Source organism: Homo sapiens, chromosome 6, assembly GCF_000001405.40.
Source record: "Homo sapiens chromosome 6, GRCh38.p14 Primary Assembly".
Taxonomy (NCBI): domain Eukaryota; kingdom Metazoa; phylum Chordata; class Mammalia; order Primates; family Hominidae; genus Homo; species Homo sapiens.
In genome coordinates this window covers 8,654,494-8,679,967 of record NC_000006.12, presented here as the reverse complement: position 1 = coordinate 8,679,967, position 25,474 = coordinate 8,654,494, and the positions used below count along the sequence as shown (strand labels likewise).

Here is a 25,474-nt window from a genome sequence, read left to right as displayed (position 1 = left end):
GATTTTCATACAAATTTGTAAATATGCCTACTGAGGCCTATGAATAATTGACAAATCTTTGGGTAAATATATCTATAAATTCCGATCTCCCCACACTTTGAAAGAATGTTTCTATAGCTTTTTGCAAGTATTGCAAAGCTGAATGATTTGATAGGCATAATACCAGAGCTGGCTGCTGGAATTTTCAAGTATGTTTACCAGAAGAAAAAAAGTGTGTGCGTGTGTGTGTGTGTGTACACGTGTGGATGCATATATTTGTATATATACACATGCATTAAATACATTTTTCAGATTGTAATTACTAAGTTTGTTCCTAAGGAAAGTGTATGTTCTAGAATGAGGAGGATAGTTCTTCCTGAATGCAATGATTCAAATGCAGTAAGCCACATATATTACCTCTGCTACCTTTTCATCCCTAAAACCTGAAAGATTCAGTGAAAATAGTGTTAAGCAGTTGGTCACTGGTGTTTCTCATAGAATCAAGGTTCTATTTGGTGGATGTTTTCACAATTTGCATAAAATTGATCTAACCTGGAAACCGATTTTCTGTGTCTAGCTCAAAACTAATAATGAAGTGTAGTATTTGCTGAATACCACCTAGCACTTTCATTTTTTTCCCCACAAGTTAAAAATGATCAGTGACAAGATAACAAGGTGTAAATTAAAATTTTTCTCAGAAAAGGTTTTGGGAAAATCCTTTAGAATGGCCTACATTTTTCTGGTTTTGAGACGACCCCAGGTAGTTCCTTTTTCTTTTTTCTGAGACGGAGTCTTGCTCCGTCGCCCAGACTGGGGTGCAGTGGTGCGATCTTGGCTCATTGCAACCTCCGCCTCCCGGGTTCAAGCAATTCTCGTATCTCAGCCTCCCCAGTAGCTGGGACTAAAGGCACCTGCCACAGCTCCCAGCTAATTTTTGTATTCTTAGTAGAGACGGGGTTTCACCTTGTTGGTCAGGCTGGTCTGGAACTCCTGATCTCAGGTGATGCACCCATCTTGGCCTCCCGAAGTGCTGGAATTACAGGCGTGAGCACAAAATTGTTGAGAATCTCTAAGGCAATTTATAAGAAAAAATTCATCTTGAAATTCATCATCTGGAAATTTACCTTCTTTTGTAAATATGTGGTAGGCTACATTTTTCAGAGACAAAGGTGGTATCAAGAAATCCAACATTCCTCAGAGGAGAATGTCAGGAGCTATTGAATGTCAGTTACCAGTTATGGGTGGCTCAGAGTTTCCTTTAGAGATTGATCAGCTTCCAGGGACCAGTGCCATCCTTACTGGCTGAAATGATGTCAAAACAGTGATCTGTGATCAGTGCAAGGACTGACCTGCCCTAGCAAAGAGGGACTCCTTGTGAATGAAACTGGTGTATCCTTTCCTAGTTGATTTCCACTTCTTTTTTTCTTTTTTTGAGACAGAGTTTTGCTCTTGTCCTCCAGGCTGGAGTGCAGTGGCGCGGTCTCTGCTCACCACAACCTCCGCCTCCCGGGTTCAAGCGATTCTCCTGCCTCAGCCTCCCGAGTAAGTAGCTGGGATTACAGGTGCCCACCACCACACCTGGCTAATTTTTTGTATTTTTAGTAGAGACAGGGCTTCACCATGTTGGTCAGGCTGGTCTCAAACTCCTGATCTCGGCCTGGGATTACAGACGTGAGCCACCATGTCCAGCTATTGATCTCCACTTCTTAACTTGAACATTGGCTTTAAATTCTATTGTTTAGTTTGATGAATCTCCAACTCCTTAATCTAACCCAGGCTGATTTCCAGAGTGAAGTTTACTATTCATTTTACCTTTGATGTCATTCAAATTTTGGACCCCATTCTTGCCTGATTGTCTTAAACCCATTTTCCTAAATCTTATCTCATAAAACATTCATATACCTGACTCAAATTTTTGTTTTAGTACTCAACATTATCTCTAAGGATACCACTGCTCATAAAGGGAGGGAGGGATTTTCTGGATCACCATATGCCATTGGGCCAACCTAGAACACAAAGAGGTGGCTTATCAGGTTGTTTACCATCACGATTTTGATATTCCTGCATCCTTATTACTACATTTAACCATAATTATTTGCTTATTCACCTTCTTCTTCATTGACCCATTCACCTCCCACCCTAGATAGTTACTTCTTAGAGACAAAAAGCAGGTCATATTTTCCTATGTATCTACCCAACAGATTATGTAAGATTTTGAAGTAAAATTGTAATTATTGAAAACAGAATGTCATTAAAATGTATCTTCACAAAAATAAGAGATAAATTGAATAAATTTAAAAATGAGAGGTGAAATGTACCGGACTAAATCTTGAAATTCTAAAATTGCATTTCAGAATATCTCAACCAACAAAAAGATACTTTGATGGAAAAAACATTTACTAGGATAAATTTATATACTCTTTGAGAATAAAATGGAATTAAGAAAGGCTTTATTTTGTAACATCTAATGTTGGTGAAGGATTCAAAATAATAAATAAATAAAGAGACGTCATTTGATAAAATGTTTCTTATAAAATATTTGTCAAAGAAAATTTCTCTGAAAGAAGACAAAAGGAAATCATATTTGTGAAAATATGGTCAAAGAAACTGAATAGCCTTTTCTCCAAAGAAGATATATAATTTGCCAAAAAAGCACGGGGAAAGATGCTCAACGTCACTAATCCTCAGGGAAATGCAAGTCAAAACCATAACGCGGCACCATCTCACACCCATTACTATCAAAATAACAAATTCTGTAAGATTCCACTTATATGAGGGACCTAAAGCACTCAAATCAATAGAGACATCGGCTGGGCACGGTGGCTCACACCTGTAATCCCAGCACTTTGGAAGGCCAAGGTGGGCAGATCACCTGAGGTCAGGAGGAGTTCAAGAACAGCATGGCCAACATGGCGAAGCCCCATCTCTACCAAAAACACACACACAAAACACACACACACACACACACACACAACTAGCTGGGCATGGTGGCATGTGCCTGTAATTTCAGCTACTAGGGAGGCTGAGACAGGAGAATCACTTGAACCCAGGAGGCGGAGGTTGCAGTGAGCCGAGGTCACGCCACTGCACTCCAGCCTGAGCAACAGAGCAAGACTCCATGTTAAAAAAATTAAAAAACAGAAACCTAGAGCAGTGGTTACCAGCAGCTGGGGAAAAGGGGCAATGGGAGTTAGTGTTTAATGGGTTCAAAGTTTCTGTTTGGAATGATGAAAAAGGTCTGGGCACGGTTGGTGGAGATCGTGACACAACAATGCAAATGTCCTGAATGTCACTGAACTGTCCAACAAAAAATGGTTAAATTAGTAAATTTTATGTCATGTCTTGTTAATCATAATTTTAAAAATAATTTTTTAAATTATTAAGGTCTAAAGTGAATAGTTCATTATTTGCAAATTTCTCAGCCATCAGCCACGAAATACCAACATTTCAGTCTTCATCTGTCAAATGAACAGGGGACAAAGTGGTTATCTTTAAGCCAAACTCTGCCTGAAATAAGCTGACTACATTAAACTGGTCATGAAGTTATAAAGTCTCCATTACACTAGAACCTTTAGTTTTGTAAAAAATTTCACATGAAAATATAATTTAGTTTTAGATTGTATAAATTATTCATTATGAACATGATATATAATTTTATTATTAATAATGACAAACTAAAATGGCAGCATATTCTAGCTTTCTGAGGTATCGCCTCATCTATTGTCTCTAACTTTATCCTCAATGCAACCTTGTACAAATGAAGACAAGGGTATTAAGCAATTTGCTTAATGGCAGATGTGGGAATAAGATCTAGGTCCTCTTGGGTGTGTTCAATAATTACTTGTTTATGAACTGACCACTTGGGATTCTCCTAGAGAAAAAACGCTATGAATCTTAGGCCAGCCCATAGACTCCCTTATGTCAATTTAAGTTAAAACAAAGTTACCCACGGAAAACATTTTTTGATTATGTGATAATTTTATTCATAAAATATCCCTAATTATAAGAGCCAAATTAAGTTAAAAAATTCAATCTCAAGTCTCCCTTTGAAGTCTCAAATTTTGAGTGGGTTACAATGATCTGTGCCACAGACAAGCTATACCATAAATTACATTAAAATGTGGGCATAAATCTTATTAAAATAGGTAACCAAAGCTGGAATATAAATCATGCAGAAAGTAAAAGAAAAATATTGTTTTATTATTTAAGCAACAAAAGAATCAGATGTAATTACAACTGATAAAATGATATGATGCACAACAAAAAATTCTCAATACTAATTATGCAGATTAAAAAAAGAAAATGAGAAAGTTCGTATTAGGTAAGCTTTTCATTAATAAAGTCCATTGAAGACCTCTAAGAACAAGAAATGGTGAATTTCAGTGTAAGTATTGAGGTGGATATTGGACAGCCAATAAAATTGGTATGTGGATGAATTTTATAAAGGAGTATAGAGATGACCATCAAAGCCAGAATTTCAACAGAAGTAGAATTGAGGCAGGACTTTATACACAGTACAAGTTTCATGTACCCAAATCTGTGGACAGAGATTCAAATCATCGATTTTTTTTCATTTGAGGAAGTTGAGGTCCAGATATACAAATTAATTAGTCCCAAGTCATAGTGAGGCTGAAGCCAAGATTCATATACAGGCTCACTCTAACATTCTCAAGGCTTGGCAGAGAGGGCAAAGAGGCCCACGTATCCCATGTCACAGACCACATACCACAGCCCCAGCCTTGCCCTTTTTTTTTTTTTTTTTTTTTTTTTTTTTTTTTTTTTTTGAGACGGAGTCTCGCTCTGTCGCCTAGGCTGGAGTGCAGTGGCGCGATCTCGGCTCACTGCAAGCTCCGCCTCCTGGGTTCACACCATTCTCCTGCCTCAGCCTCCCGAGTAGCTGGGACTACAGGCGCCAGCCACCATGCCTGGCTAATTTTTTGTATTTTTCATAGAGACGGAGTTTCAGCGTGTTAGGCAGGATGGTCTCGATTTCCTGACCTTGTGATCTGCCCGCCTCGGCCTCCGAAAGTGCTGGGATTACAGGCGTGAGCCACCGCGCCCTGCCAGCCTTGCCCTTTTTACTTCCCTATCCTGGTTCCTTCATGCAGCATGAAGGGCCACACATCCTCATGCAAGCATGCATGCACTGTGGGCATCTCAGCCTGCAAGTCCAAGATCTGTCCGTGTTCCCCAAACCCCGGCACTTGCACTCCTCAGATTTATAAATGAGTAAGTCATGGGCACAGCTGAGAAGGTGGGTCTAGGGAAGCGATCAAGGCAGAGCTAGGGAGGAGACTCAGGCTCTTCGAGCAGGGAACTCTGCGCCCCAGGTACCCAGATCATGGTGCAGAAACTGGAGCTTGGGCCCTGGTGGGCACTTTCCCTTGACCCCAGGGATTCCTCATGCTGTGAGGAGGGGCATGGCTAGAATAAGCTAGCGCAGGTCCTATGAAGCATGTTCATTTCATTGGAGGCTTCCCTTCCCAGGTCTAAAAGTGGCACTTTGTATAAATCCCTTACGTTTACATAGCAATTGTGGTCAACAAAGCTGTTTTACACACATGATGTTATTTGATCATCCCAGGACACGCATGAAGTAGAAAACACAGGTGTCATTGAGGAAATTGTGACTTGAGATATGAGACTCAGCATCCCAAAGTTAGAAAGAAATGGACCTTAAGCTTGACACTACCTACTTCCACTCTGCTTTCATTTCCTCCGTTCTGTATCCACTTCCCCTTTCAAGAATTTCTCACTAAGCCATTCTTTTTGGTATGAAAAACAGTAAGCTAGATCATAACCAAAATGCAGGGGCCAGCTTGGGATTTCATTCAAGATATTTGGCTTGGGATTTGGGAAATATTCACCATGAATAAAATTAATATTACATATACACTAGCACAAATTACTAATGAATTGTCTTAGTCTAGTCGGGCTGCCATAAATTTATTTTCTCACGGTTCTGGAGAATAGAAGTCCGAGATCAAGGAGACAATCAACTTAGTTTCTGATGAGGGCTCTCTTCCTGGCTTGCAGACAACCACCTTCTTGTGATCTCACATGGCCTTTCCTCAGTATGGTAACATGGAGGAAGAAAGAGCCCTGTTGTATCTTCCTCTTGTTTTAAATATAATTATTTATTTTGTTTGTCAAATAAGAATTGTATGTATTTACTGTGTCCATGTTGTTTTGAAATATTCTGTTTATCTTCTTATAAGGGTACCAGCCCTATTAAATAAGGCGCCCATCCCTGTGACCTCATTTAAACTTTATCACCTCCTCACAGGCCCCATCTCCAAATACAATTACATTAGGAATTAGGGCTTCAACATATGAATCTGGGGCCAAGGACACAAACATTCCATCTAATATTAATCCAGACATAAGATGCATTTCTATCACAAAAGTGATGCCCAGTAAGTTATTATTCACCCTATTAGAGCTGATTAAACACAGAACTGCTTAGCTCTGCTGCATTCCACAAACATATGATTACTTGCTTTGTGTTGGAAGCCTTTGAAGAGCTTTACATTCTAGATTGACCTACATATAATTGCAAATGCATACTAAGTGTGATGCCAGACACGCACAGCATTCCATGGAAGTCTGTCCCAACTGTTGCTGTTACAAGCAAAACCTAAGTCCAGATTCCTTCAGTGCTCCCCACTAGCCATGGGTCAGTATTTCTCAGCTGCTGATGGGTTCATCCTAACAAGGAGCTAGGGGAAGTTAACTCGCCCAGCATTTTTTTTCCAGGGGTAAATATATGTAAGATGATACTCTACATACAATTTTACCTCCTGCCACATTTAATCATTTTTCACTATTATGGTCAGCAAATATTTCATGTGCCAGAAATCATGCCAAGTGCTGAGGAGACAACAGTAAGCAAAACACACATGGTACGGCTCTCAGGAAGCTCATAGTTGACTGCTGACAAGCATTTTACTATGCCATGGAAAACCTTTCTGTGATGGTAAGTTTTATGTCTGCATTGCCCAAAATATGAAACTGCTTCCTAATGTTGAACATTTGTGATTTTTATAACACTGAAGTTTTTTTTTTTTTTTTTTTTTTTTTTTTGAGACGAAAACTCACTGTTGCCCAAGCTGGAGTGCAGTGGTGCAATGTCAGCTCACTGCAACCTCCACCTCCCAGGTTCAAGCGATTCTCCTGCCTCAGCCTCCTGAGTATCTGGGACTACAGGCACGTGCCACCATGCCCGGCTAATTTTCTTGTATTTTTAGTAGAGACAGGGTTTCACTATATTGGCCAGGCAGGTCTTGAACTCCTGTCCTAGTGATCCACCTGCCTCGGCCTCCCAAAGTGCTGGGATTACAGGCATGAGCCACTGTGCCCAGCCCAATGAAGTGATTTTTGTAACACTTTTGATCTGTGATTTTTATAACAATGAAGTACCTATGATAGATAGCATTGTCCACGTGTTCTATTATTTCCTTGGGATGGAGTCTAGGATCTTGTTTTAAGATTTTAATGTAGATTAATCCCATAATCAATGGAAGTAATGTTTAATCTACGTGAGATAATATATTTTAAACCCTTGTACAATAAAGAATGTCTTTTGCTTTTATAAAAGAAAGATAACACAGTCAGGTGTATAATTGTTGAGACAGAATATTTTCTTGTCAGGGATCTAGAGAAGTTTGCCATCATTTTCAGTTATTTGAAATTTGAATTGTTTGAAAATTATTTCAAATTATTTTCATTATTTCAGTAATATAGTTTGGCTGTGTCCCCCACCCAAAACATCTTCTTGAATTGTAATCCCCATAATCTTCATGGTGAAGGGAAAGACCAGGTGGAGATAACTGAATCATGTGGCAGTTTCCCCCAAGTGGTTCTCATGATAGTGAGTGAGTTTTCAAGAGACCTGATGGTTTTATAAGAGTTTGATAGTTACTGTTGTGTTCATTCTCCTTCCTGTTGCCTTGTGAAGAAGGTGCCTTGCTTCCCCTTTGCCTTCCACTATGATTGTGAGTTTCCTGAGGCCTCCCCAGCCATGCTGAACTGTGAGTCAATTAAACATCTTTCTTTTATAAATTACCCAGTCTCGGGTAGTTCTTTATAGCAGTGTTAAAACGGACTAAGACACTTAGCTTTTCAGAGATGTATGAAATCAGTTTGATTTTTCCTCTTTTAATAATATATTTTTTGTTGCTGTTGTGCCTGGATGCTTTAAAGGTTTATTTTTATTTTATTTGTGTACATTAAATTATGACATTGTACACCTTAAATAAAAACAATTTTTTCTTGTCAATTATACCTCAATAAAGCTGGAAAGAAGTTTTAGCAACCTCTATTTTTACCTGTGACCTTCCTTATTAATGTTAACTGAAACATACAGAGTCTTTTGATCTGCATGTTTACACCATTTTTTCTGCTAGTGAAATTGTCATCAATGATTCTGAATGTTTGTTTGCTTTTCCCATTAGGAATAGTTATCATTAGGTTAGAATCTCCATTCTCTATTCTTCAGATGTGTCATCTTCTTTTGAAATCCAGTATTTCAATTGAATTTGTTTGTTCACCTGTTGTATGGAAGTTCTTCTTCCCAAATTTGCCCTGGACTCACTGATGTGATTTTCCAAGTGTCAGCTCTGCTCTTCATGTCTCCAATATAAATTTTAATTATCCTACTCAATGTATCACGGCACAGAAATTCATCTCTGTCTTATCCTTCTCCTACTGGCATTGTTTTCCTTTCATTTCGCCTTTCCTCTTTTAATATTCTGTGACTATTCCAGAGAAGCTGCATCTTCATGGCATCTTACTATTAATGCCTAAAAAGTTTTGCTTTCTTCTAATTCCTCATACAAATCATTTTCATGATACACTGACTCTGAGTTTTCAGAATAATGTTTCATGTGCCTTGATGTAGAAGAGCCTTTTATGGACCCTATTCAAGTTTAGTTGTTGTTGATTTTTCTGTTGGTTCATCCAGAAATCAGGAGGTATCTGTGCTGACTCATTCACTATTTACCAGTGAACAGCAAATGGGCCCTACCCATCAACCTATTCTCCACACACTCAGGGGCTGGTTTGTATGCCCCTATTGAATCAAGAGGGTCCAATTACCACTTTCCAGTAGACTTTTTCTGGGTCTTTCTAAACTTCACATGCGTTGTCAGACCTTTTGTACTATGGGTGGATGAAAGGCATGGAAAGCCATAATTGTCAGTACAAAATGTCACCCACACAATTCATCCTAGATTTCCTTGTAGAAACAGTATCACCCATAGTATAATATGCTGCTACCAATTCTCCAGCCCCAAGGCCACCTTGCACCTGGTTGTTTTGTGAGGCTCAGCATTCCTGACTAGAGGAGACACAAGACAGGTGGCCAATACTGTGCCTCAAGGAGTGATGGTTCTGCAGGACAATTGTCTCACCAACGAAGAAGTAGACACTGCAAGAAAGCAGATCTCCCCAATTATTTTTATTACAGTTAGAGCATGGTTCCCTCTTCAGTTTAGTTCCATCATCCTTATGGTTATTAGAACATTCTTCCAGATTCTGAAATTGGATTAATGCTAGTGTTGTTTATTTTTATTTGCTTGTATATTTGCTTGTTTTTATTTTGTTTATATTTTGGTATGGCAATTTTGATCTTTCCATACTTTTATAGGAACTTGCAAAGGTTTACACCAGCATCTGTTAGCTACATGCTATTTTAAACCTCAAAAACATAAAATTTTGTTTTGAAAGTCCATTTATACAGGTAGACACATACAGAATTATTTCATTGACCATTGTGATTGCACAAAGCCAGCTAACTCTAAGCTACCATATTAAACTAGTTATGGTTGTGTGAACAGAGGTCAGGACAAAAGCCATCCAAATGCATATCCAAGTGCAAATGCACCTTGTTGTTCAATGATCAGTCACACCCACTATGTTTATGGCTTTTGATTAAAGTAATAAAAATATTTTCTCCCTAAGTTTTTATCCTTATCTGCTTTTGAAGAGACCCCCTAGGTCACTTCATACCATGCAGTAACCACTTTAACATTGTGCCAGTTCTGAAAGATTAAGAATCAAAGATAATCTGGTGAACCTTCCCCACAAACACATACATACAGACACACACACACACAACTGCGCACAAGCATACATGGGCACACATGCATACATGGTCACACATAAACACAATTAGTTGGGAAAACAAGTTAAAGAGTTCATTGCAGACTAATCAACCCAGGGCAGGGTTTTCAACACATTCAACCCATTGCAAAACTTGATCTATTAGGACACCCCCCCATAAATCAATGAAAGAACAGTTTCCTGGAGAATTATTAATATATGTTGCATCAATTTTTGCCATAAGTAAAGTTTAACAATATTGAGTCACACCAAAACATTTTGTCATTATGAGTAAGTACCTTTCAACTTTTAAAAAACATGCACAAATTAAAACTAAAAAAACACAGCATATCTTTATATTACATGAGAAGCACAAAGAGTATAATACCATAAATAATCTTTTTCTATACAAGTTCGCATCGTTATTCTGAAACCCATTTAGAAAACAATAAAATAGGGTATCATGGGAATAAGGGATCATTTTCCATGAGACTTTAACGTGTGATTACTTAGTTACATAATTAAAAGCATGACAGTAGTACAGTGCCAGGGTTCTATTGCCAGGAGATTATATCAACATAATACAGTCTATTTCACATCCTTTTTTTTTCATTTTCCAATACTGAACAAAATTGTATGTCAAGTCATCAGGTAATATTTATAACATAACCAATTTTAGTGATCAGCAAAGGGATGCCAGACTCTCACATAATGCTGCACAATAATATTGACCCGCATTTAGAAATGTTACTGTCTCTTCACCTTCATTTCTTTTTTGTTTGACTTTGTAGCACTAAAGGTCAGGAAGTGGTTAGAATCACATGGACAAAAATGAGAAGAATGTCAAAATAATGGGTGCATAACTTTTTAAAAGAGTTTTTTTTTATTCTTAAGGTTTCTATGGTTATATACAAACCACATAAAAGATAGAATAAATGTATGCCCAGTGCTGGGCCTCATGGATAGGAGACTATATTGTAAACAAACACAGTGACCTTTTCAAGCATAAGAGTACCCAGAACAGTACCTAGTACATCATCAGCACTGAAAAATATTATTAAACAAACATTAATTGGGCAATTACTTTTCTTCTAGAAGCTTCTATTAAATAGGAAAACTTGACTAATTTTCCAAATAGACTCTTACTAAAATCCTTTCTGTAAGTGTGTTTTCTTTCTGGCCAAGACCACTAATTTTTTGAATGAGACAAACCAAATTGTCTAACATCATAGACACTTCTAATTTGTATTAGTGTCCCAGCATCTGCATTAATAAAGCCATGTTATCTGCCTGTAGCCCTGCATTTTTGCTGTAGAAAGCCATGGCAATCCCATTTAAAATCTTTTAACCTATTCACTTCATGGTAGCAGCAGTAAGCAGAGCCTTCTGGGCTTTGTAACATAATAGCGCCCCTTTATCACGCTGAATGGTTTATTAGAACCTGCTTGTATTGATGATTTAGTTTTACCATGGTGAGGCCACCACTCCAGGGCTTTCCACTCTGTTTGGGGACTCTTCTGTCATTTTAATGTTTAGGGGTTTGTTTGTTTTCTTGTGAAATGGCCTTTCATTTAATTTTAGCATTATTTACATTATTTATTATCGGGAGACAAATTGAAGACTTGGGGGTTGAGAACAGTGCACTGTACCACAGAATCCCTCTGAAATCTGTAGTGCACCAATATCACCGAGAATATTCTGACTCTCAAAAGTCAACACCCAGACTCTTGTTTCAGTTACAGAACCAAATAGAAAAATAATTCCTAACCATCTTCCAAAGTTGAATTTTGCAAACCCAGCTGCTCTGTTATACTTAATGGCGTTTCACATCCTGACTAATTTCCTTCGTCTTTTTTTATTCTCCAGTTTCTGGGTATGTATGCCAAGGGCAAAAAGCATAAGCTAGGACCTGAGGTCCTAATACCAAATACTGAGTTAAGTTAAACCCCTTGCTTTTTTTTTTCATTCTATCTTTTAACTGTATTTGCAGGCATGAAATTCTGCCTTTAATTTCATTAAAAACCCTGCCTAGTTCTCTGCCCCATACTTCCATCTCCCCATTCAAGGAGGGACCATGAATTGAACCTCAGCCCACAAGATACCAGTGGGCTCAGCACCCTTTTGAGGTTAACTCTCTCCAGCCTATTTTGTAAACCTACCAATTGGGTTGGACTGGTCTTGGCTTTCTCTTCCTCCCTGTCTGAAATGGGCTTTAATTATCAATACCTTTCCCTCTTCACCCTCCCCAAACCAAAGATTTAATGACAAATCTAATTGTGTCTGGAATTTGGGGGGTTCTTGGTCTCACTGACTTCAAGAATGAAGCCGCCGACCCTCGCAGTGAGTGTTACAGCTCTTAAGGTGGCGCATCTGGAGTCTGTCCCTTTTTGTTCAGATGTGTTCGGAGTTTCTTCCTTCTGGTGGGTTCGTGGTCTCGCTGGCTCAGGAGTGAAGCTGCAGACCTTCACGGTTGAGTGTTACAGCTCTTAACGCAGCGCTTGTGGAATTGTTCGTTCCTCCCGGTGGGCTCGTGGTCTGGCTGGGCTCAGAAATGAAGCTGCAGATTTTCACGGTGAGTGTGACAGCTCATAAAAGCAACGTGGTCCCAAAGAGTGAACAGTAGCAAGATTTATTGCAAAGAGCGAAAGAACAAAGCTTCCACGAGGTGGAAGGGGACTCGAGTGGGTTGCCAATGCTGGTTCCGGCAGCCTGCTTTTATTCTCTTATCTGGCCCCACCCACATCCTGCTGATTGGTAGAGCCGAGTGGCCTGTTTTGTCAGGGCGCTGATTGGTGCGTTTACAATCCCTGAGCTAGACACAAAGGTTCTCCACGTCCCCATCAGATTAGTTAGATACAGAGTTTCCACACACAGGTTCTCCAAGGCCCCACCAGAGCAGCTAGATACAGAGTGTCGATTGGTGCACTCACAAACCTTGAGCTAAACACAGGGTGCTGATTGGTGTGTTTACAAACCTTGAGCTAGATACAGAGTGCCGATTGGTGTATTTACAATCCTTGAGCTAGACATAAAGGTTCTCCATGTCCTCACCAGAGCAGCTAGATACAGTGTCGATTGGTGCACTCACAAACCTTGAGCTAAACACAGGGTGCTGATTGGTGTGTTTACAATCCCTGAGCTAGATATAAAGACTCTCCACATCCTCACCAGAGCAGCTAGATACAGAGTGTCGATTGGTGCACTCACAAACCTTGAGCTAAACACAGGGTGCTGATTGGTGTGTTTACAAACGTTGAGCTAGATACAGAGTGCCGATTGGTGTATTTACAATCCCTGAGCTAGACACACAGGTTCTCCAAGGCCCCACCAGAGCAGCTAGATACAGAGTGTCAATTGGTGCACTCACAAACCTTGAGCTAAACACAGGGTGCTGATTGGTGTATTTACAATCCCTGAGCTAGATATAGAGACTCTCCACATTCCCACCAGACTCAGGAGCCCAGCTGGCTTCACCCAGTGGATCCCACACCGGGGCTGCAGGTGGAGCTGCCTGCCAGTCCCGCGCCGTGCACTCGCATTCCTCAGCCCTTGGGTGGTCGATGGGACTGGGTGCCGTGGAGCAGGGGGTGGTGCTCGTCGAGGAGGCTCGGGCGGCACAGGAGCCCACGGAGGAGGGGGAGGCTCAGGCATGGCGGGCTGCAGGTCCCAAGCCCTGCCCCACGGGAAGGCAGCTAAGGCCCGGCGAGAAATCGGGCACAGCGCCGGTGGGCCGGCACTGCTGGGGGACTCAGTACACCCTCCACAGCCACTGGCCCAGGTGCTAAGTCCCCCATTGCCCGGGGCCAGCAGGGCTGGCTGGCTGCTCCGAGTGCAGGGGCCCACCAAGCCCATGCCCACCCGGAACTCCAGCTGGCCCGCAAGCGCCAGGTGTACTGAGTCCCCCAGCAGTGCCGGCCCACCGGCGCTGTGCCCGATTTCTCGCCGGGCCTTAGCTGCCTTCCCGTGGGGCAGGGCTTGGGACCTGCAGCCCGCCATGCCTGAGCCTCCCCCTCCTCCGTGGGCTCCTGTGCCGCCCGAGCCTCCTCGACGAGCACCACCCCCTGCTCCACGGCACCCAGTCCCATCGACCACCCAAGGGCTGAGGAATGCGAGTGCACGGCGCGGGACTGGCAGGCAGCTCCACCTGCAGCCCCGGTTCCCACTCGCGCCTCTCCCTCCACACCTCCCTGCAGGCTAAGGGAGTGGGCTCCAGCCTTGGCCAGCCCAGAAAGGGGCTCCCACAGTGCAGTGGGGGACTGAAGGGCTCCTCAAATGCCACCAAAGTGGGAGCCCAGGCAGGGGAGGTGCTGAGAGCAAGCGAGGGCTCTGAGGACTGCCAGCACGCTGTCACCTCTCATAATGACAGTAAAAGTAGAATTGAAATATAATGCTAATTTTTCAAAAAAATATAATTTTCATAAACTAAACATAACATCACTGTGAAAAAGTATGGTATTGCTAAATTTATGCTATTTTAGATATGGAAGAACACAATGTTCTAAATTAAATTTGGTAGATAAGGATTGATTGGCAGATCTCAGCTTCCATTTAACCACAGCATGAGGAATACCTTTGTTTTTTTTCAGGCCACTTCTCAAATCATCAGACAACGAGAAAGCACTTTCTAAAATAATAATTTAAGGGCTAGTCAGAATAACTAACAAAAACCTTGTCATTTTTAAATCAATCAACAAAACCCAAAGGCTAAAATTATTCCTACCACCATTCTTAATATCAGCAATGAGGTGAGAGATTTAATTAGGAGTAAAATGATCAAGAAAACATGGGAAAAAACTAAATACCTATAAAACTTTTTCTTTAGTAACTTTGCTATGGATTAGGCCTTCAACTGCCACTGAAAAGGTGAAATTATTTATATGTCTGGCCTTGCAGATCAGATATTCCACTATATTTGCTGTGTAAACCAGCAAAGAACAAAGACAATCAATGAGGGTGGATTCTTCCAAATTTCGGCAGCCTGCAATGCTAAGATACCCTTCCTGGTGACACATCCAAATGAACTCCATCCAGAATCAAACCTTTGCATTTGTTGACCTTTGGTGGAGGAGAAAAAAAAGGCTAATGGATAAATTCCATGACTACTTGCTTTCTGGTATGCAAATTTTCTTTGGCAAGTTCTGCATAACAGAAATCTCATTGAATTTAATGAAATCGACGCAACAGCCAAAAGTTAAACCATTTAGGTACCAAATGTGTCAATCACCATTATTGTTTGATTGACTTCAAAAAGAAACCCACAAAACATCTCTGATCTCTTGTTCAGTTTCTGGGGATTTCAGAAGAAATTCAGTTAGTAACTTAACATAATTCATTTCTAGTTACTTCTTTTTTTTTTTCAGAGCTGGAAAATACTATAGTCATTGGCATTTGAACTGTTCCACAAATGATTTTTTTTCTCCCAATACGGACTGATTACAGTCTGAAGCTTCATGCATTCTTTTAATAAATTAGTTATTTGATAAAACAATAGCGTCAACAAAACTGATTCACCAAAGTCCATGCTCACCTCATTTGCAATCAGAAGCCCACAAAGAATAAATAGCATCCAGTGTGACAATCCAAACATAAGGCTGAAGTTATCTTTTTGTTCATCATTCACTAAAGTTTGACCTGAAACATGAGTTAAAAGTAACTGCCTAAAACAACAGAAGCACTCCTGCTTTCTCCTGTATAGCTTCCAATTTGTCTTTGATCGGACTTTTAAAAACAGAATCAAACAGTACTGATTTTTAGGAAAAATATAACCAGATCTCACTTCCTTACAAAATAGATCCTTGCAAATTCTATAATGTTTTGTGAATGAGCTTTCTTACTAGAGACAGCACTGACTTATGGCATTAAATAATCTTAAAACAAGTCCTGCAATGGTTTCAGTGCAAAGCTTAAGAAAACTTCCACCACTTCACTCAATATAACCGGAGTTTTAGAGAGTTCTGAAATTATAAGTAACAAAATGGGTCAATTTGGCTTTCTCTGATTAGTTTCCTTTCTAATATTCTCTATCCTTAGCATCTAGCAGGATGCCTAGTTTGCAACTGGTATTTAGCAAGTATTTGATCAATGAATAGCATTTAAAATGAATGAATCAATAAACATCTTAGTTAGCCATGTTAATTATTAAGTGATGGACAGATTTTTCAAAATTCATATCCATAAAAAGAAGTTCCTACAGATGTAGAGGATATACTCTCTATATTTAATATAGGAGTGGGTAACTGAAATTAAGTAGCACATGAAAATGAAATCTCCCAAGCAGTAATGTAACCATGTATATCAGGGTTTCTGATTCAGGTTTTTAAGTTCTCCCATTTAGTAAAATGTTTAAGTCTAATTTTTTATCTTTTTTTAAAGCACTCTTAAGTTTCATGGACCAAGTGCTAGTTATTCATTTTAGTACTTTTTTCTACAGCTTCCAGAAGGATAAAAAAGGAAGAAGCAAAAAGCCACTTATACCTCTGTTTCCAAAACATGATGTCACTATAATGAAGACAAGCAACAGGACCACAGAGAGATGCCTTCATTCAGCCTCAAGTATCCACAGAAAATTATTATTATCACCCCCACCACACACACACATACCACCAAAAAAAAAAAAAAAAAAAAAAACCTCTGCAAGATTTTTCAACTTTATCCTAGAGAGAGCCAAAACAAACTGTATTTTCTGGTAAGAAGAAAATTGGTGTTCAAAACCATAGAAAGCATAGATACAAATTATAAATTATAGTTCTGAATATTCATACTTGTATTCATTAGATTTCATTGCCTCGGTTATTGGCCATGTTGTTATGAGTATAGATATGAATCAAAGATAAGGAGTATTGATTTTTGAAACCAACCCTTCATCTTACCCTTAGTGCCACCATTTTATAGTTGTGTGATTCTGAAGAATACCAAACAAGTATCTGGTAAATATAAAATTTATACACTTTCTGCATATATATATATATGTGTGTGTGTATGTTGCTTTGAGTAACTTAAAAATCATAGATTTTTCTAAAATCTGAAATGTTATTATTGTATTATTCATAATTTCAAAGCAGAGAATGTGCAGAGAAAAAGGTAAGTCTGAGGGTAAAAAACAAATTATCTAACTAAATGTTGAGGCTATTCATAAAATGGAATTTTATCTTATTATTGAGAATATAGTATAACATTTAAAATACTTAAATAAGCTATACAGACTTTCCAGATATTTTATTTCTACCTAAACTAACATTCTGTGATTAATTCTGAGCACCTATAACATAATCTTAAACTCTAATGTGACAAGTCAGAAAAATGAGGAACTTTTTTTTTAACCCAGGCTTTCATAATTTAAAATGTAACCTTTTGGTTTACATAATGCCTGCAAGCAGTGACATAGATGTTGACAGCATTAATATCACTATTTCTGTCACTAAAATCTATAGCAAATACATTAGCAGCCACAAACGGAGGTGGTTTTTCAGAGAGCTTGCTAATTGCATTGCAGCTGTGAACTTAGTTTTGCGGCGTTCATACAGAAAAACACAGAGCTGAGAAGGAAACACAAACCTTAAGAAGACTGTAAACAGGTTGATAGCTACTTTTGAGGCCGTGTATTTGTATTTAGATTATATATCATGTTCACATTATTGATATTGTAGACTGATGTTTCCCAAATCTTGATCAAAGATATAAAGACTATCTATTAGTTTGAGACAGAACAATTTACCAAATGCCCTAAATTAAAGGTAGGAATTTAATTGAGTACAAGAGCAGATCTACATTAGACTCTAGGATGAACTCAATTCTTACTCTTCTTTAATTTGGCTATATCTACGTTCAGTCTCCCAATGCCCTCCAGGGCAAAGAAATCTCCTGTGTTCAAAGCACAAGTCCTTCAGTTCCTGGTGATAACCTTAGAGAATGTAGTCAAAGATGACCTATCAGAGAGGAGTAAAGCTGGGTTTCCAAAATAAGCAACCTTATCTGTGTAGCCTACACTTTTAAACGCCACATAGCAGGTTTGCCCTTCCATCAAAAGGCAAATTTATCCACCAGATATTCCTGGACAATGGAGGAAATGTGATTTTCAATTCTGAGCAATTAGTAATTTTTAAAAGCCATCACTCTGTTTCTATCATAAAGAATAAATACAATTTATTATCATATCTCTGTACCCCAATTTTGCTGTTTTCTTTAAAAACAGAAAAGAATTAACAGCTAAAAATCACTTTCCTTATTCCATCTGCTGAAAATCCCAGATCTTTAAGACTGGAAAGGAGTTTTTCAATTACTGCTTTCTTTCTCATTTTGTATATGGAAAAACATAGTTAGAGAGACGATGAGTATGATGAGGGCCCCTTCCAAAGTCATACCCTGGTTGGGGGCCCCAAACCCCTGGCTCCCTGACCCTGCTCATTCCACTGCCTGTCTCAGCAGAGCACCCCAAGGATGTACATTTCTTAAAAGCCAATGCTCCTCACACACCTTCAGAGAAAACATAAAGAGCGTATTCATTCATTAGATTTCATTGCCTTAGTTATTATCCAATTTGTAAAAGGATAAAGACATTTTTGCTTAAAGCATCATGATACACCATTGGGCAATGGTCATAAATTCAATATTCTTCTAAGAATTAATTGAAGAATAGAAAAGGACAGGTATACCTTTATTTGATAGCACTGCCATACCGTTAAAAGAAAAAAATACTTTCCAAATAAAACAAGTTATTGGCAGTAAAATGCGGGGTTTCCCCACCAATTTTAACATCAAATAATCATATCAGGAAGCCCCAACTGCCAGTGTCAAGAGGACAAAGGGATTCGTGAATGGCATGTTGTTAGATTAGCCTTCTTCAATGGGTCCCTCCTTTTCCTTTTATTCTCTGTTCTTCGTGATTGCCTAAGCAACAAAACAGAATCTTAATTTTATGATTGACTTAATTTATGACTTTGTGATTAACTTGATTCATGTGAACTTAAAGATGGAAGCATATCACCTAACCTATAAGAAATCATTCATGGTTCATAAGGTATTTAACTAATGCTTATTCTAAATCCTCACATATCATGATTTGCCCTACGGTGATAACCGAGAAGATAAGATAAAAGAAAATGACTCAGGAATAATTGGACATTTTATATTTGAGATTTAACATTTAACAAAACAATCTAGACTTTGTTCTTACCAATGAAGTTTCATATAGTTGAAACAAATAAAATCAGAGTTTACTAAACCAGTACTTTATTCATCTTATGTCAATTTTGAAACAAAGAGACAGGGTACTTGAAATTATATTGTTTTGAAAAAAAAAGGGGGTCCATTTTATTCTGACTCAAAATACATTATAAAAATGGACATAAAAATAACAAATTGCCAAAAATGATGAAACTTAATTCCTTAGAAGTAATAATTGAATTTTAGTTGACCTGTGTGTTTCATAAATATCAATTAAAATATTTTATTGTATTACATTTTTGCAGTTGACCTTCAATCTATGTAAATTCATTACAACTCTACATATTGGATTGTATTTCGCAGCAATTTGTGCCATAAAGATTATAAAATCAAACTGCGAAAGAATGAGAGTCAGAAGGAACGTGATAGATATTTTGGTTTAAGGGCAAAGGCATGAGTTTGAATCTCACACAGACTCTCATCTTGCTTAAGATACATGATCTTACACAAGCTGTTTCACTGCTTTGGGCTTTGACTTCCTTTTCTATATAGAGGTGGGTAAAAAATACCCACCTCATGTGCTGATTTTAGTAAAAATTAAAGGGTCACACGGTTGCGTTCAGCAGTGGCATTCTTATTATTATCTAATTTATCTTCACCCTCTTTCTTTAAATGGAAAAATCCATCCAAGAGCCAGAGCCAGGGTCATTCATGTTGGCAGGTACCACCCCTGTCGCTTTGTTTGTTTCACATGTGCCCTTTTCCCAGGCCTTATGCTCATGCTGTGGGGATAAAGAGGGGGAAAATCTTTTAATATTGAAAACTGATTTGATTCCTACTCTCAATAGCTGAATACCTAAAAGGGAGGACCAAGGGTCCCCCGGGAACAGCAGTAAGCATCTGTAGTAACATGAGATATAAAATAACTCTATACATTGCTGCTGCTTATTTCATATGTCATAACTCAAGCCTCCCACTCTGAAGTATTTATCAGTATGGATTATTGTCACTACAACAGGGCAGAAAATGGGTGGGTTGGGAGAGATGGAGTAGAGAACAAAGCCAGAGTTTAATTATAGCCACACTGGGATGGTGTCTCAGTCAGTCCAGAATGCTGTAACAGAACACCACAGACTGGGTGGCTTCAACACGGAAATTTATTTCCCACAGTACTGGAGGCTGGGAGGTCTGAGTTCAGGGTGCCAGCATGATTGAGGAGTTCTGGTAACCCTTCCTGGGTTCATGGCTAGCTGTCTTCTTACTGTGCCCTCACATGGCAGAGAAAGGGAGACCATCTTTCGTGTCTTTTTAAAGGACACTAATCCCATTCATGAGGCCTCCACTCTCAAAATCTAAGGCCCGGCCTCCAAATACCATCACGTTGGAAATTTAGTCTTCAACATAAGAATTTAGGGGGGATGTGGGAACGCAAGCATTCTATCCATAGAAGATGGAGTAGGGAGACTTTGTAGGCTGGCAGGGTTCAAGGTTACATGCAAGCTGTTAACATCGGCCCTCTCACTTCCCTTACCTGACCATTCTTCCTGTAGTTCCCCCAGGTGCCACCTTAGAGGAAGGGCTATGCTGTTTTCCGCTGCCTCAGTCTGCCCTATCTATTCCTCTAGAAAACTTGCTTTCCTTCCCTGCTGTTTAGTTAGGTAGTATGAGGAAAGTGCCTACTTCATTCCCATGGAGGTAAGTGACTGATTACCCTTTATCTTCTGTGGCGCATTTGCTTGAAACTCCAAATAAATCTCAAATGGATCACATCCCAAGCAATGTGAACAACATTTTCAGGTGGTGTCTGGTCACTCCTTTGAAAAATTGGGAGTACAAGGAATCCAGACGAGCTAACTTTGCACATGAAACGTGATTGCAGCAGCATCTCTAAACGGGAAGCTCGCTTACAGCCTAACACCCAGGGGAAGGCTGGTCTCTTTATTTACAAAACTCCTAGGGCTCATGGGATTTACTTTCTTTTAGCTCATTAAAGCTTTTCTTTCTAAAAACAGGCCTTCCAGCTTTCATTTCTCTGCTGGTAGCTCTTTAAGGACTCCACTCTCCCTTCTGATTTCTGCTCCTTGGACGTGGATTCCCCGATGTTGTACTGATTCATCCACGACCAGGACTCCCTTCCTGACAGCTGGCCTGTGCTTTGTTATGGGAGTTCCCCAACCTAGAGCTGGCTCACTTCATCGTTGTTAATTTACAGTGTCACAGGTGTATTTCCAAACAATTTAAAAAGTGTAATTGAATCCATTATATACCAAACAAGTTGTTTCACAAAATTCTATTCATTGGGTTGCCTTCTACTGAGGAACATCAGTAATTACTCTCATGATGTAGAATACTTAATAATCCCGGCATCCCTGCAGAAACAGAAAAATCATCTTGAACACACGTATCTCCTCAAATTACTACAGTGATCACTGGCTGGAAGCCAATGATAAAGAATGTTTTAAAAGAGCTAGGACTTTTCATGCGATAAATGAATGTTTAAGATTTTTCTGGTTTTTTTTTTTTTTAGGAAGGGACTCTATCACGTAACATGCCTTGTCTATATTTAGAAAATGAGAACCAGATCATTATATGCATCCACTTACTTCAGGAGCACTGCTATGCCTCAGCCATTTGAAGGGTTTGCTTATTTATCTTGCAGGGGAAGAGTAAGAGCTTTATGGCTATCTAAAGATGCTGCTAATGTAGGATAAAATGCCTTTTCATGAATGTTTTTGAGGTTTAATGTTAACGCACTGTATTATTACTCCATAGAAGGGAAATGAAATGTAGTGCAGAAAACTAAATGCACCCAATGCATCAAATCAAGGCTAAAGAAGAATTGTGTTTCATGGAGAAAAGTTGTCACTGAGATGGCAACTTACATGTGTTTGTTGAAATAGACAGACAGATTGCTTAAATAGTGTGGAATGCTTAGGATGCATGATCATTGTGGGCTTTTTGTGGAAAATGTGTGTCCTTTCAGTAAGTCAAAAACATTTTTGCTGACTAATGTTAGAAGATGCTAAATTTATCAGACTGGTTTATTCATTGAAGAAATGTCAGAGTTTCACATGAGTTGCTCCACACTGAGATGAACTAGTTTTAAAGTGAAATCTCTAACACATTTGCTATTTAATCACAAACTTATGACTAAGATGAAAGGTAGCTGGAAGCAACAGAAAAAAGACTGGATCTGGTATCAGAAATAGTCCCTGGTCCAGTTTTTACTACTAATGAGCTCTGCTACCTGGACCTAGACTAAACACACTTTTCAGCCTTTTAAACCAGTACATTTAAACTTTATTTTATACACACATACCCCACAGGCTCCAGTTATATTGATCAAGACCTAAATTAAGAAGAAAGAGAAATATAAAAGCTCCAAATTCTTGACCTTCCCAAAGGGAGCATTAAAAGCCATAATTTTGTTCCTCTCCTTGATAGTTACATAAAATTTTAGCCTTCTCTTAAAATTTTAGCCTTCTCTTGAAAAAGATTGAAATAGCAACTGGTAGAATGAAAAAGAGAGTGGCTACACTTCCACCTGTAAAAAAAAATAAATAAAAGGCAAGAGTATTACATATTTTAAAAAGTATAAATCAGGATGACAAAAGAATAACAGAAGAATAAAAGTAAAGGGTCTAAATTTCCCCTTTATAATACAGGCAAAGACTCTCAGAAACAATTGAAAATAATAATCTGTTATTTCTTACACAAAATATCGCAAAAATAATGTATCACAAGAAAATATCATACACAAGGCTCTAGAATGCAGTTCCCCCCCTCAAAGAAAAACCCAGAGTACAAATATTGATGTCAGTATTATTTGTAATAATGACTACATTCTCTGTAAGCTCTACAAAATGGGGACAGTGAATTTTGTTCATAGGCTCCTAAAAGCATTTGGAATGTAATCAAACTTAAAGAAATACTTGTTGAGTGAATAAATCAGCTAATTAATCATTGTTTTGTTAAGACAAATATGAAATTGAGTAGAGGGCAATTTTACATTGATCTAGTTTATAATCAATAGGAAATTTATAACAGTATTCAACTTTTATGCCCTGAATATTCTCAAAATGTCTTAATTTCAAAATGTCAAATGATGGAAATACAGTCTTAGGTGTGCTCAAGTAACATTAAGAAATTGTATGGCTAAAAATATGGAAGCAACCTAGGTGGCCACTGATGGATGAATGAAGAAAATATGGTACACATGTAATAATATTCAGCCTTAAAAACATGAAGGAAATCTATCATTTGCAACAACATGGATACACTTTGAGGATATTATGCTAAGTGAAATAAGTTGGTCACAGAAAGGCAAATACTGCATGGTTTCACTAATGTGAGGTACCTAGAGGAATCAGACTCATAAAAGCAGAAAGTAAGATAGTGGTTATCAGCAGTAGGAGAGTTACGAAGTTGGGGAGATGTTGGTCAAAGGACACAAAGTTTTATTTAGACAGGAAGAAAAAGTTCAAAAGTTCTATTGTGCAATATGGCAAGTAGAGTTAATAACAATGTATTGTTTACTTCCAATTGCTGGGAGTAGATTTTAAGTGTACACACACACACAGATACATATGTGAGGGAATGCAAATATTAATCAGCTTCATTTAGCCATTCCACAATGCATACATATGTGAAAACATCATGTTGTATACACTAATTATATACATTTTTATTTGTCAGTTTAAAAGAATAATAATGAAAGAAATTACACAGCTAAATCAAAGGATGCACGTGTCAGAGTAACTGGAAAGACAGCACATGAATGCCACACAAGAGTCCTGTTACGTACAACCCCACTCACAATCACCTCTTTTTTCATTCTGTACACACCAGGCTCACTGCCCAGCTAATAGCCCCATTAAGCAAACCCAGGTTCTCCTATATTTCAACCTCTGTTTAGATACATTGCCTCACACTATTAATAAGTATCATCAGCCTTCCTAGCTTTGCCAATGCCTCAATTCCCTTTCCGCCTTTGTGCACATCACTCCAACAATCACTGGTCGACTTTATTGAACCTGCCTCATGGGCAGGATCCATATGGGGCAAATTTGTGAAGAGCTGCATTCCTCTGCTAAGCAGTTTGTAAGGCATTCTAGCTTAAATAGGGAAGCAGATAATTGTTTTCACCAACATACATTCCCTCGAAACCATCCCACTAAAATTAAAGCAAGGTCATTGGCAGGCTGGGGGCCAGAATAATGAGAGATTATTGACAAAGAAACTAGTTACAAAATGCTGAGAAAATCCAGGCAATACATAGAGAACTTGGAATAGCACAATCAGTAGGAATAAATTGGAGAAGTCGGGTTGGAAACACGTTTGTGATTTAACAGGATGAGGTGGCTAACAAATAAGGTATGGAGTTAAGGATGACTTCAAAGTGAATAGTTTGCAAGATTCAGGGGATCATGATGCCATTCACACATAGACAGAATCATTTTAGAAAGAAAGGACATCTTTGAGGGGAAGGTAATGGCTTTCGTTCTGGACATCCTAATTTTGATGAACCCATGGGGCATCCAAGATGAGAAATCTAGTAGGCAGTTAAGAGGAATTTGGTCTAAATAATGTAGCTAATCTGGTAACAGGCTGTTTTGACTGAGTACCAGCTATAAGCAAGAAGTAATCATTGGAACAGTAAGAAATTACTAGATTTTACGGTGCATTAGATCAAGAAGAGGGATAAATCGCTCTTTGGCACAGCTGTACATCTTAGTGCCTATTTTGGGTCCTCAATAGAAATAGATTAGGACAGATTGCACCTATGGACATGGTGCAATATTTAAAGGTAAGCCATGCTGTAAAGAAATTAATATAATGTTCAGTATCTTTAAAAATATTAGTCATAAGTTACATAAACCAAAATAGCAATGCTAACATTGTAAAAGTAAATTTAGTTAAATTATTAATGACTCAAACTTACATCTCCCCACTTCTTAAATCCCACAAGATTCCTGTTGTATGTAAGCAACACTTTCCTCAAACCAAGAGCCTTTTAGGAGCCTTCTATCATATCCATCTGGCACCAGGGTAGCAACATTATGGATCATTGAGACAGGTTGGCTAGAAAGGTAGATCACTTTTGTCAAGGAAGAAAATTTAAAGAGTCAAAGGATCATAACTCTTCTCCTCTACAGTAAAAATGGCATTGTTGATGATTTAAGAACTTTGGATGGTGCTATTCAGCCCAGATAATTATAAAGAATACCCCATT

The 25,474-nt window shown here is 38.7% G+C and overlaps 1 long non-coding RNA gene across 2 annotated transcripts in view, besides 1 other annotated feature; it reads right to left on the bottom strand.

The window, feature by feature from the left end:
• LOC100506207 (uncharacterized) overlaps positions 1–25,474 on the bottom strand; it is a 349,823-nt gene that overhangs the window by 105,478 nt on the left and 218,871 nt on the right. The window lies entirely within an intron of this gene.
• Positions 19,879–20,048: an enhancer, noted in NCBI's record as "experimental_96605 CRE fragment used in MPRA reporter constructs". NCBI's record gives its function as "activates a minimal promoter by MPRAs in K562 erythroleukemia cells, with activity observed for both the introgressed and non-introgressed 6:8660238 variant alleles {active_cell/tissue: K562}" and the evidence as "EXISTENCE:reporter gene assay evidence [ECO:0000049][PMID:34662402]".